The sequence below is a fragment of the Homo sapiens genome, chromosome 1 (assembly GCF_000001405.40).
Source record: "Homo sapiens chromosome 1, GRCh38.p14 Primary Assembly".
In the NCBI taxonomy this organism is placed as follows: Eukaryota; Metazoa; Chordata; class Mammalia; order Primates; family Hominidae; genus Homo; species Homo sapiens.
Window position 1 is genome coordinate 205,188,141 of NC_000001.11, and position 13,389 is coordinate 205,201,529.

At 42.2% G+C, this 13,389-nt stretch overlaps 1 protein-coding gene across 6 annotated transcripts in view, besides 3 other annotated features; it reads right to left on the bottom strand.

Moving 5' to 3' along the window:
• DSTYK (dual serine/threonine and tyrosine protein kinase) overlaps positions 1-13,389 on the bottom strand; it is a 69,198-nt gene that overhangs the window by 45,636 nt on the left and 10,173 nt on the right. The gene's annotated exons all lie outside the window — the stretch shown is intronic.
• Positions 3,419-3,963: an enhancer, noted in NCBI's record as "OCT4-NANOG-H3K4me1 hESC enhancer chr1:205160687-205161231 (GRCh37/hg19 assembly coordinates)". NCBI's record gives its function as "activates a minimal SCP1, AML or CMV promoter by ChIP-STARR-seq in primed H9 embryonic stem cells {active_cell/tissue: H9 hESC(primed)}" and the evidence as "EXISTENCE:reporter gene assay evidence [ECO:0000049][PMID:30033119]".
• Positions 6,458-6,602: an enhancer, noted in NCBI's record as "145 bp 1:205163798 sequence used in MPRA reporter constructs". NCBI's record gives its function as "activates a minimal TATA-containing promoter with rs12078075 allelic activity by MPRAs in C283T melanocytes {active_cell/tissue: C283T}" and the evidence as "EXISTENCE:reporter gene assay evidence [ECO:0000049][PMID:36423637]".
• Position 6,530: a transcriptional cis regulatory region, noted in NCBI's record as "rs12078075 or 1:205163798 MPRA-significant variant associated with a GWAS melanoma risk locus at 1q32.1". NCBI's record gives its function as "allelic transcriptional activity by MPRAs in C283T melanocytes {active_cell/tissue: C283T}" and the evidence as "EXISTENCE:reporter gene assay evidence [ECO:0000049][PMID:36423637]".

Sequence of the window (13,389 nt, forward strand, 5' to 3'; positions counted from 1 at the left end):
ACACCAAGATTATTAAAATAACAAAGCCAGAAAAAAACTACACTAGTTGGGATGTGAGCCCAAGGAGAAACGTAACTGAATGTGTCAAAATTAAACCCTTTCTTCTGACAGAAGACCTAATACTTGAACTCAGATTACAGTCGTGTGTTGCTTAACAACAGGCATACATTCTGAGAAATGCATCATCAGGCAATTTTGTCATTGTGTAAACATCAGAGTGTACTTACACAAACTTAGGTGGTATGGGTATAGCCTACTACACACCTAGGCTATAGGGTGTAGCCTATTGTTCCTAGGCTACAAACTTGTACAGCATGTTACTGTACTGAATACTATAGACAGCTGTAACACAGTGGTAAGTATTTGTGTATCTAAACATATCTAAACATAGAAAACGTATGCTAAAAATACTGTACCTTTGTTGACCAAGATGCCATCATGCAGCACATAATATAGCACTATGGAGCCCTTTTAAATTATCTACCATATGCGGTTTTAGCTTATGTTCTTCATTGTGACATATTTTACTACTAAATGTATGAGCTATAAATGTATAAAATGTATAAATGTATAAAATGAAATGTTATTCAAGTTTGCATAAGCTCTAGAATCTTTTCCAGTTCATCTCTCTGATGGCTGGTGACAACGTCCCAGCTGCCAAGTCATCTGTTTCCTTAAAACACTGGGTGCTCAATTAACATCAATACCTCCTAATCAAATCACATTCCTTCTGTTTATGGGAGACAAGACCCTAAATAGGACAAAGGGAAAGAACTGCCTATTAGGATAAAATCCAGGCAAATCTAGAAAGAGATGTGATTTATTTCAAAAACATTCTCCTTGATGGACATCCCAATTACCCTGATTTGACCATTACCACATTGTTACCCACATATCGAAATACCACATGTATCCTATAAATATGTACAATTACTATGTGTCAATTTAAAAAATCTGTTTTTCACCACCCTTACGTTTTGTACAAAAAAAATAAAAAATAAAAATCTAAAACAAAAAAAAACAAAAAAAACTTCTCCTTTCAAGGCAACTACTACTAATCTAAATGGATAACTTCCCCAAACACGTTCAAATAATGTTCAAGACAGAACAAGCTTCCTAAAGAATGAGAATCTGTGTTTGAGAAAAATAATCCGAAATTAGTTCACTGAAACTCTCAGCCTGAACTATATCACTTCCTTATTCCTTCAGTATCAGTGTCTGCCTATCTCTAAGATTCAGGCAATTCCTGCATTTGTTCAGAAAAGCACAGACACAGTTCTTAGGCTGCAAAAGGGCCAATCCTTGAGCCAAACACATCCATCATAACTGAAATTTTGGGTGGCACTAACTGAAACAGTATTTGCTTTAGTCACTTAACCATAAGCTGCATTAAATTATTTGTAGGCCATTTATTTTGTTTGTTTCCAGAATTGGAAGCATAAGAGGCCTGAATCAATTAAGAGGTGGTTCTACTTCAGAGTGAACCTACCTAGCTACGATTTCAAATCCCCAAGCATCCTTCTCTTCCACAAACAGTAACACCAAAAGGGTTAAAGAGGTCTGTGTTCACGCAGATCCCTCTATGCATTTCATTAGGGCCCTTCTTTTCATGTCTGTCTATAAGGATATCAGCCTGGCCCGCACATATACATCAGCAACACCAGACACTGAAACAAGCAAATCTACTCTCCTTGGAAAGAGATGAGTGCCTTTCAAAAACCAACAGAGTTAACTAAGTATATAATTCTGTGCAAGGGTATTTACTAAATACAAGAGTATAACACCAGACCACTAGTCTACTCTTTTGATCTACAACCTAAAAGCAAGAGGACACAGCAAATTGCTTGTGTGGCCACTTAACAAGTAGCAACAGGCCAGTCCTGAGTTCCTTCATACCTTATTCTCAACTGCAGAACACCTACCATGCTTTATTCTAATTACCTGTTTATAATCATCTAAAGCAGGAAGAACCATCCTATTTCATCCTCAACACCCAACACAATGCCTGACACTTACCAAGGGCTTAATGTCATAGATTTGTTTGTTTTGTCTGAGAATCCATTTAGTGGGGACAGCTACCTATAGAAAGCTGTAAGCAAACCCACTGAGTACTTTGAAAAGTCCAGTATCATGATGAATAGTTTAAGAGCAACCATCACTCCTAAAAACCTCCTTCATGTGGATAAAAGAATAGGACCCTTCAGCCAGGTGCAGTGGCTCACACCTGTAATCCCAGCAGTCTGAGAGGTGGAGGTGGGCAGATCACCTGAGGTCAGGAGTCCGAAACCAGCCTGGCCAACATGGCGAAACCCTGATTCTATTAAAAATACAAAAAATCAGCTGGGCGTGGTGGTAATCCCAGCTACTCGGGAGACTGAGGCAGGAGAATCGCTTTAACCCGGGAAGCGGAGGTTGCAGTGAGCCAAGATCACGCCATTGCACTCCAGCCTGGGCAACAGAGCGAGACTCCATCTCAAAAAAAAAAAAAAAAAAAAAACCCAAGAGTAGGACCCTTCCATTCATCTTGTGGAATTTAACTACCATAGTCTCAGCTCGAGCAGTGAGAAGTCCAGCTAGACTGTCTTCACCTCACCTACACTTCCTAGCTTTCTTCTATTCCCTGTCCTCCCCAGATTTTCACATAAGTGTCTACGCATGAATGCATACTGACAACCTTTAAATTCCTATAATAAAAATGGTTTCATCACAAAAAGACCAACAAAACTAAATAACCTTTGTTACTGCTACTACCAGGAGAGTGGATAATAGAGAAGAAAACCGACTAAATCACTTTTCAGGACGAGAGGGAGAGAGCCTCTGCACCTCTGAAACAAAGTGTCAACTACAGGACAGCCAATGAAACAGGCTGCATCAGCCAAAACCAGAGCAGACACACCCCATTATTCATCTGACCCAAATGAACACTTCCCCCCTCCATCTTTCCTACAAAAAGTCACCACAAATAAACTTGCTACTGTCAAAACGACCAAAGACCAGCGCAGTAGGAAAGGGTGCTGAAGTTGATCCCAGTACACTGTTAGAAGTCCATGGCAAACATCACCGTCTTTGTTTTCCAACATGTCACTATCCAAGCTCTTTGCTTCTCCCACTAAATCTTTAGCTTTTTCATCCATTTGACATCTCTACCAGATTTGAACAAGGGCATGGAGAGAAATGAAGTTGAAAGCAGATGGTTTTACTCCTGGATTCTTGCACACTGCTCAGTGATGTGGTGGAATGCAATATGGAAGTGGGAACAGCACGAGAATGAAGGCAGGCTTTGCCACTCTGACTAGCTCTGTGACCTTGGCAATCCACTCGATCTTTCTGAGCCTTGAAATGCTCGTCGGTAAATGGAGGGGGGTGGAGTTGGATTAGATAATCTTTAACATGCTTTCCAGTTCTAAAATGCCAGGTTTTAACTGCTGAAAGACCAATGATGTGAGGGGGATGGGTGGTTGGTGTGGTGGTTTTTATTTTATTTTAAATTATATGTGAATTTAATTACGCAAGTGCCCCTTGGACCACTATAACTGCAGAACAAAAAGTAGACTGAACTAGCCAGGGGCTCTGAGGACCTACAGTGCAGTCTTAGCAGTTCTCTAAAGAAGAGATTAAAAGCTGTAGACTGACAGTAGGAGGGAGGAAGAAAACCTGTTTCAGAGCTGGAGCAGCTGCCTCACTGACAGTTAAAGGACTTCAAGTTAATCGAGTTTTCTTTTGTAATTAATACAACAGCATCTGCATATGGGCTGCCAGAAGGTAACAGCATGGCTTCTCAGCTGGCTCACATTAACCCTGCCAACTCTGGCTGGAGGAAAAATCATATCAAATTGTCTTAAGTGCAAACCAAGGCTTCTGTTGTTGTTGTTGTTCTTGGTGGTTGTTCTTAAATACAGATTTTGATTTTTGTTTACTTCTAAACAAAAGTTTCAAGCTAGATGGAAGAGAAGAACAACTAAAGCAGCAACCTATTTTGGTTTTTGTTTTACATAACATTTATTGAGCCCTTTCTATGTATTGATCACTTTATTTGCTTCATTTCATTTAATGCTCACAATTCTACAAGACAAGGACTATTATTAACTCCATTTAAAAATGAAGAAATGGACCAGGCATGGTGGCTCACGCCTATAATCCCAGGACTTTGGGAGGCCGACATGGATGGATGGATGGAGCTCAGAAGTGCGAGACCAGCCTGGGCAACAAAGGGAGCAACCCCCGCCGTGCCTTTGTTTCTACTAAAAATTTTAAAAAATCAGCTAGGCATGGTGATGTACTACTCAGGAGGCTGAGGTGTGAAGACTCCTTGACCCTGGGGAGGTCGAGGCTGCAGTGATCTGTGATCACGCTACTGTGAGACTCTCCTGGGTGAGTCACCTGCCTCACAAAATAATAATAATAAAGATGAGGAAATGGATGCTCAAAAAACCAAACCAGGCTGGGCGTAGTGGTTCATGCCTGTAATCTCAGCACTTTGGGAGGCCAAGGCAGGTGGATCACCTGAGGTCAGGAGTTCGAGACCAGCCTAGCCAATATGGTGAAACCCCATCTCTACTAGAAATATAAAAACTAGCCAAGCATGGTGGCCGACGCCTGTAATCCCAGCTATTCGGGAGGCTGAGGCAGGAGAATTGCTTGAACCCGGGAGGCAGAGGTTGTAGTGAGCCGAGATAACGCCATTGCACTCCAGTCTGAGTGACAAGAGCGAAACTCCATTTCAAAAAGAAAAAACAAGAAACAGCTCAGGTTTCTCCATTTCTCTCAGCAGTGAACTGCAGAGCTCTGGGGGCCAGTAGACAATGACCCCTACGCCACATTGTTTTCCAGTCTGGGGTCAAATGCAATTTAGTAACTGTAGGACCTCAATGTAAAGCAGACTGATACAATCCCTATGAAAGTTGCCCCAAACCATGAGGAATAAAGCATATGGAGAAAACCGCAGCATTACCACTGGCTGGTACACACTTTCAAAAAATGTTATTCTACCTGAGATCTCTAAAGTCTCTTTGCTAAAAGAAACAGTAGGCTCTTTTCAGAGAAATTCTTAGTGCTCTGCTCAACAGTCAGTGTGTATTACTGTTTGGGTGACTACTCTGAAAAGAGAAGATGGGAGGGAGGAAATACTCGTGACCTGTTTCTGTTGCTAGTGACTCTTTAAGATACATACTTTATTTAAATTGTTTTTGGGGTAATGTCAATCGATTTGTAGCAACACATTCTCCTTCTTGCCTATTTTCCATCCCATCAGGCTCAGAAAACAATAGCCCAAAGTATGGTGCTTTGGCATGCTGAGCACTTTGAACTAAAGGAGATTGGAAGGCTTCAGAAGCAAGGTTGCTCTCTGACCTTCTCCTAGCCTCCTGTCTGCCTCCCCTTTTTCTCCCCTTAAGCTACTCACAGAAACCAGAATTCCTCTTCCTCAAGACCATAGAAACTAGAAACCCTGGCCGGGCACAGTGGCTCATGCCTGTAATCCCAACACTTTGGGAGGCCCAGGTGGGTGGATCACTTGAGGTCAGGAGTTCGAGACCAGCCTGGCCAACATGGTAAAACCCCACCTCTACTAAAAATACAAAAATTAGCCAGGCGTGGTAGCATGTGCCTATAGTCCCAACTAGTTAGGAGGCTAAGGCAGGAGAATCGCTTGAACCTGGGAGGTAGGGGCTGCAGTGAGCCGAGATAGTGCCACTGCACTCCAGCCTGGGCAACAGAGTGAGACTCCGTCTCAAAAAAAAAAAAAAAAAGGAACTAACTAGCAATCCTCTTCTCTGAAGCAAGCCATAAAACTAGAAAGGTTGCTCTCTTTTCCTCTGAAGACCCTCATTCCAGAGAGGACCTGCCACATCCCACACCCTGGGGGAAGGAATGCACATAAAGAGCCCAAGAATAACCTGAGCAGACCAGCCTTGCTGGGTTTCTCAGTCTATTACCATTAGATCATGTCCTACTGTCCAATCACTTTCTACAAAGCAGTCAATTCTTCATCAAACCTAAGCATAAAAACAGTTTTCCCTGGGTCTTTGTGACTTCATTTCTAAAGGCTCCCGTGTCACATAAATTTGTTATGCTTTTCTCTTGTTAAACTGTCTTTTGTTAGAGAAGTGTTGGCCATGACCCTCAAGATGAGTGAGGAAATCTATCACACCTTTCAGCCACTACCAATCAATAATACATACTCGTGAAAGGTAACTGAAGGCTCTTAAGGTACAGTCTATGTCCAAGGTAGGGAAGGCACTACAAAAGTTGGTGAAATAGAAAATGCTTTTGCTTTATTATACTCCTGCAGCTCATAAAGTTAACATGGACTTCAAAGTTAATTCAGGTCTCAACAGAGTTATTACTGCAATACTTGTTCCTGGTACCCAAGGATTTCCCTCCTTCAGTAGTTTTAAAAATCTCACTTTTTTTTTTTTTTTTAAAATAGAGATGGGGTCTCACTATGTTGCCCAGGCTGGTCTCAAACTCCTGGGTTCAAGCGACCCTCCCACCTCAGCCTCCCAAAGTGCTAGGATTATAGGCATGAGCCGCCGTGCCTGGCCTAAAAAAAAAAGACAGAGACAGAGCTCAAAAAAAGAAAACTCCAGCTCTGTCGCCCAGGCTGGAGTGCAGTAGCATGATCTTGGGTCATAGCAACCTCCACCTCCCTGGTTCAAGCAATTCCTGTGCCTCAGCCTCCCAAGTACCAAGTAGCTGGGACTACAGGCGTGTGCCAAAACTCCAGCTCTGTCGCCCAGGCTGGAGTGTAGTGGCATGATCTTGGGTCAGGGCAACCTCTACCTCCCAGGTTCAAGTGATTCTCGTGCCTCAGCCTCCCGAGTAGCAGGGACTACAGGCAAGTGCCACTAATTTTTTTTTTTTTTTTTTGTATAGACAGGATTTCACCATGTTGGCCAGGCTGATCTCAAACTCCTGACCTCAGGTGATCCGCCTGCCTCAGCCTCCCAAAGTGCTGAGATTACAGGTGTGAGCCACCATGCCTGGCCAAAAATATCACTTCTAACATTGAATTTTCCATGCTTTTATGGGAAGTCAACTTAAGTCCCCTCTGAAAGTGAATGAAAAACAAAGGATTTTTATAGTTAACTGAGGCAACCAGTGACACAAAGATGCATTTCCACAAATAGGTAGTGATGTTTTATTTCTTACTATCTATACCAAAAGTAGAGAAAAGAACAAATCCTAAATTGAGAAAGTAATCTTATATAGTCTTTCTACTACAGTCAATTCTACCACAAGCTTCAAAGTACTAAGCTACAAAAATTCCAGGGACTGAGACAGAAAAAATTCAGTCTAGAAATATTTATTTATCCTTCCTAAACAAGCTCTCTGACCTTCAGCTAAATTTTAAAGACTGACACAGAAGGCACCCTCATTTAAGACAAACAGATGCTTAGGTAGTCTGGCTTTCAGAATCTTCAGGACCAAGTAGTACACGCTATTTCTTTGGAAGGGGATGGTTATTGAAGATTAGAGACTGAAATGCACTCTAGTAGGCAAAGCTCTCGCTGGAATCGGAAAAGTCAAGTTGGCAGAAGTCTCTCTAAAGTTATTCTATGTCAGGACCACGTTAAGATCTCTCACAGCTTTTAAGAAGCAGATAGTATTGGCACCGGGGGAGAGGAGACCGCCTCCCTAGGGGCTGATACTCCCTGGGAGCCACGTGAAATGGGAACGCACTCAGCAGCATGCTGAACAAGCTCCTTTCTGGGTGAAACTGCTCCTGAGACTGGTCACACTACCGAGGGAACAGAATCACAGCTGGCAGTTGAGGCTTTAACGTATGGGACGCAGAGATGGAAGTAGTTCCTTGAAGGAAGCCAACCCCATGCTTTACAGAGGGCTTAGTTTCTGGCATTTGGAACGCAGTGTATAACAGTTTATAAGCATTACCAATGATCCAAAGGTGGGAATATGTCAAAAGGACACAGGAACCAGCTTGAAGGGAAACTCACTCACCTCACCAAAGTGGGGACAATTTATGCATAAAAAGTGATAGGAAGATATTACAATCCATTGAAAAAATTCACAAGTCTACACTGATTAAATAAACAAGAGAAAAGGAAAGCTCTTCTTTACAGTAGACTACAACTAATACATATAGAAGGAATGATGGATATAAAAATCACCATTGGGCTGCACACGGTCACTCATGCCTGTAGTCCTAGCACTTTGGGAGGCTGAGGCAGGAGGATCGCTTGAGCCTAGAAGTTCAAAACCAACCTGGGCAACATAGTGAGACTCCATCTCTACAAAAAATTTAAAAATTAGCTAGGCACGGTGGCATGTGCCTGTAGTCCCAGATACTAGGGAGGCTGAGGCAGGATTTCTTGAGCCCAGGAGATTAAGGCTGCAGTGAGCTATGATCACACTACTGCGCTCCATCCAGCCTGGGTAACAGAGCAAGACCTTGCCTGTAAAAAGAAAACAACAACAAAAAAACCCCATCACTGAGACAGGTGGGAGTTGTCAGGGAATGCTAGGTCTACTGGAAGGAGGTTTTTTGAGAAACAGGGTATCAGTGAAATACAAGAACACCTCTCCACAAACTAATCAATTGCAAAGGAAAAAAATGGTGAATTCACAAACTAATCAACTGCAAAGCAAAAAATGGTGAATTTTTTTTTTTTTTTTTTTTTTTGAGATGGAGTTTCGTTCTTGTTGCCCAAGCTGGAGTACAATGGCATGATCTCAGCTCACTGCAGCCTTCCGGGTTCGAGCAATTCTCCTGCCTCAGCCTCCCAAGTAGCAGGGATTACAAGCATGCACCACCATGCCTGGCTAATTTTTTTTTTTGTATTTTTAGTAGAGATGGGGTTTCACCATAGTGGCCAGGCTGGTCTTGAACTCCTGATTTCAGGTGATCCACCCGCCATGGCCTCCCAAAGTGCTGGGATTACAGGCATGAGCCACTGCGCCTGGCCCTAAAACTGGTGAATTTAAGGTGGAGAAAACATCTCCAGGGATGGGTTAACGTCATATACCCTGTGATGAAAGGAAAAAAAAAAAAAGGAGACATTGTTGGGACAGTTGGCAAAACCTGAACAGGGTCTGTGGACTGGATGGTAGTACTGAACCCATGTTAATTTCTTGATTTGGCGAGCTGTATGGTGATCATAGAAGCACATCCTTGTTTGGGAGGAATGCATACTGGAGTGTTTAGAGGAGATGAGAAAACCTAACTGCACTCAGCTCTCAAAAGGTTCAGAAAAAGGCTACATCTAATATAGATCAGGAAGGAGAGAGACTGGGTGATGGAACAAATCCATGAAAATGTTAACAACTAGAAAATTTGCATGAAGCAGGTATTGGAACTCTTTTATTGTTCTCGCAACACTTACGTATGTTTGAAATTATTTCAAAATAATTTTTTTAGGATCCAAATATATACCTAGCAAAGCGTATCCAGCTCTTGATCTCAGAGGAAAGAGATCAAGAGATAGGATTTTACTTGACAAGAAAAACCAGCCGGAAAAAAAAAAAATACATCAAATACAGCAATAACAGGATTTGAACAACAACAGTTTCTTCACTGTCTCCACTTTTGCCCTGCACATTACCTTCCATCCCATCAATCTTCCTGTGATGTTTACTATTGCTTGTTCAGAGTCTGGGGAGTTCAAGGCACTGATCTAAGCAAGTAGTTTAGGATCAGACTTAGAATCCAAATCCACAAGTCTAAGCAGTATAGACCAACATGATGCTCCAGTATAGAACAGTCTGATGAAAGTTACCTGTAACCATCAGGTTCATTAAATAAGAAACCACGAAGGCCGGGCGTGATGGCTCATGCCTGTAATCCCAGCACTTTGGGAGGCTGAGGCGGGCGGATCACCTGAGGTCGGGAGTTTGAGACCAGCCTGACCATCATGGAGAAACCCCGTCTCTATTAAAAATACAGAATTAGCTGGGCGTGGTGGCACATGCCTGTAATCCCAGCTACTCGGTAGGCTGAGGCAGAAGAATCGCTTGAACCCGGGAGGTGGAGGCTGCGGTGAGCCAAGATCACGCCATTGTACTCCAGCCTGGGCAACAAGAGTGAAACTCCGTCTCAAAAAAAAAAGAAAGAAAGAAAGAAAGAAACCAACAGAGGAAGCTTGACTTTGATTTTGCACTGCCTGTAGTGGCCCCTTATGTTTATTAGTGGTAGAGACTATATTGCCATTATACACTAACTACTTTTATCCTATACCAACAAACCACTTTTCCAAGTTAAAGCAGCAAAACTTTTCCAATTCTCTCCATGGGACAGAACCAGAAGAGCATGTCAGTTGTTCAATCAGGAGAAAGTGAAAGAGGTTTCCTCAGTGGGGTTCTTATATACTAAAAAATAAGAATGACTTTTCTTTACTAGCTATATTCCCCCACATTCCTCCTTGCACCTAGATATCGCCATAATATTAAACGCTAAGGCTAGAGTATATCATATGGAATATTCCTAAAACGTAAACTCCATACTGGTTCATTCTCACTGTCCCTCTCATTTGAATAGAAAGAGCTTTTATTTAAAATAGTCTTGTAACCTAGCTGCATTTGTGATAGGGCCTTAGTCTTTGCTCTGGCAAGTTTGACTTGATTTAAAAAAAACAAAAACAAAAAAACCCTGGGAAATTCTCTCCCCATTAAATAGACTAGAAAATATTAAAAAAAAGATCTAAACTGAAATTTGTCTGGCATAAATAAGGCACTAAAGCTTTTTTTTTTTTTTTTGAGATGGAGCCTCGCTCTGTCGCCAGGCTGGAGTGTGGTGGCGCGATCTCGACTCACTTCAATCTCTGCCTCCCAGGTTCAGGCGATTCTTCTGCCTCAGCCTCCCAGGCACTAAAGCTCTTAATCTGATGAAACTAAAGTTAGACACTTTGAGGATGAAAGTACTTTTTTAAAATAAGTGGAATTTTTTTAAAAAATCAAAGGCTTTTATAAATATATAACCTAGACATAATTATTTGGGACAATTCTGATGTATCATTAGTTAGACAAGTGAAAAGCAAAACAATCCTCAAGTCCTACTCCCATCATCCTGCCCAGAGCACACCACCTCAGGGAATGGAAGCATGTTATAATAAAGCCCAACTCCAAAGAAAGCGGTGGTCAAAAGGTTCCCACAGCCACGTGGCACACAGCTGGGGAATATATCCAAACTGCTCACACTGCCTAGAGAAGAAAATAGAAAAACACACTGCCTGTGATGGGCACTTCAACCAGAACCCACAGGGGATACTGATGAGTCTCCATGCTCTGACCAACTTTCCCTCCAAGAGTTTTGGTTTGGACTTTGGAGGAACATTACGCATAAGGGAACTTTCTCAGAGAGTCTCATTTATAGCTCAAAGCAAGGAGACACACATCTTAAGCATTTCTACATCTGTTCTCCTCTGGTCATGTAAGTGTCAAGTTCCAGGTTCCATAGGATCACCAAACTCCCTGTGTGACAAAGAACTGAATCAACCTCCAAGCCTGGGAATGGCCTATACTGAGACTGGACATCCTCCCACGGCACTCCAGTCAGAGCTCTGTGAGGTAAAATAGAAAAACTGCACCCCCACGTGGACTCGCCCTCTGTAGTCTTGTTATGAATGACACTACTCAGATTCCCTGCACCATGTAGGAAGCAAACCCCGTCATCCCTAGAGGCTATTTTCCTGTAAGAAGGAGCAAATTAACCTTAGGTTTTACAACCATAACCAAAAAAACCACATCCACCCATAGCTCGTAGTTTTCCTACCGGCTTCTCTGTAACTTCTAAGAAAGACAGAAATGAAAGAAGCTCTAATAGTAATCTTCATAAATGCATTCTGCATTTGAACCACAAAAACGAGATGATATAATTTTTCCATCAAAGAGAAAATAGGCTGATTTTCCTCTACTGTCAGAAAGTGGGCAGAACATTTCAACTCTTATTCTTTTTTTTAATGAGACAGAGTCTCGCTCTGTCACCTTGGCTGGAGTGCAGTGGTGCAATCTCGGCTGGTTGCAAACTTCGCCTCCTGGGTTCAAGAGATCCTCCTGCCTCACCCTCCCAAGTAGCTGGGATTACAGGCGCCTACCACCGCGACCAGATGATTTTTTGTATTTTTAGTAGGGACAAGGTTTCACCATGTTGGCCAGGCTAGTCTTGAACTACTAACCTCAGGTGATCCACCTACCTTGGCCTCCCAAAGTGCTGGGATTATAGGCATGAGCTACCACACCCAGCCAATTTTTTGTATTTTTAATCGAGATGGGGTTTCGCCATGTTGGCCAGGTTGGTCTTGAACTCCTCACCGCAGGTGATCTGCCCACTTCGGCCTCCCAAAGTGCTGGGATTACAGGTGTGAGCCACTGCGTCCGGCCTCAACTCCTATCCTTATCAATGCCATTTAATCTTACAATTTTCCATATGCCCTACACTCCTACCCACTCAAAGACAACTAATGATTAAGTAGGTAACCAATTTGTAGAAAATCCTCTGGGAGAGACATGATGAAACACTAATCCTTTTTTCCTTCATAACATCAATTTGGAATTAATAATCTCAGTTAGTTGGACAGAGTGGTTCACCAATGCGTGTCCTGTGCCTAGTACAGAGTCAGGCATTAAATAAAGGTTTGCTGAGTGAATGAATATTAAGAATTTACTTCCCATATCATGGTGAAGCTCAGGTCTACTGGTATTGCATGCAAGTCATTCTTTGGAACATGAAAATAATTCTTTGGGATACTGGCACAGAATGCAACTGCACCTACTACTTGATAGCACAACAGGGTGACTATAGTCAATAATAATTTAATTTTTTTTTTTTTGAGACAGAGTTTCACTCTTGTTGCCCAGGCTGGAGTGCAATGGTGCAATCTTGGCTCACTGCAACCTCCGCCTCCCAGGTTCAAGCTGTTCTCCTGCCTCAGCCTCCTGAGTAGCTGGGATTACAGGCACGTGCCACCATACCCGGCTAGTTTTGTATTTTCAGTAGAGATGGGGTTTCGCTATGTTGGTCAGGCTGCTCTCGAACTCCTGACCTCATGTTATCCACCCGCCTTGGCCTCCCAAAGTGCTGGGATTACAGGCATGAGCCACCATGATGGCCCAGTTGTATATTTTTAAATAACTTAAGGAAAGTAATTAGATTGTTTGTAACTTAAAGGATAAATGTTTAAGGGGATGGCTACCCCATTCTCCATGATGTGTTTATTTCACATTGCATGCCTGTATCAAAACATCTCAGGTATCCCATAAATATATAAACCTACTATGTACACACAAAATTAAAAACAAAATTTTTTTAATGCAAAAAAAAAAAAAAAAAAAGAATGCAACTGCAGCCTAACTAGTCACCTATGAAATGCATATCATTGTTCTTTTTTAGGGGCCCAGAGAGTAAAATGTGTGTGAATTTACAAAAATCCTTATGTT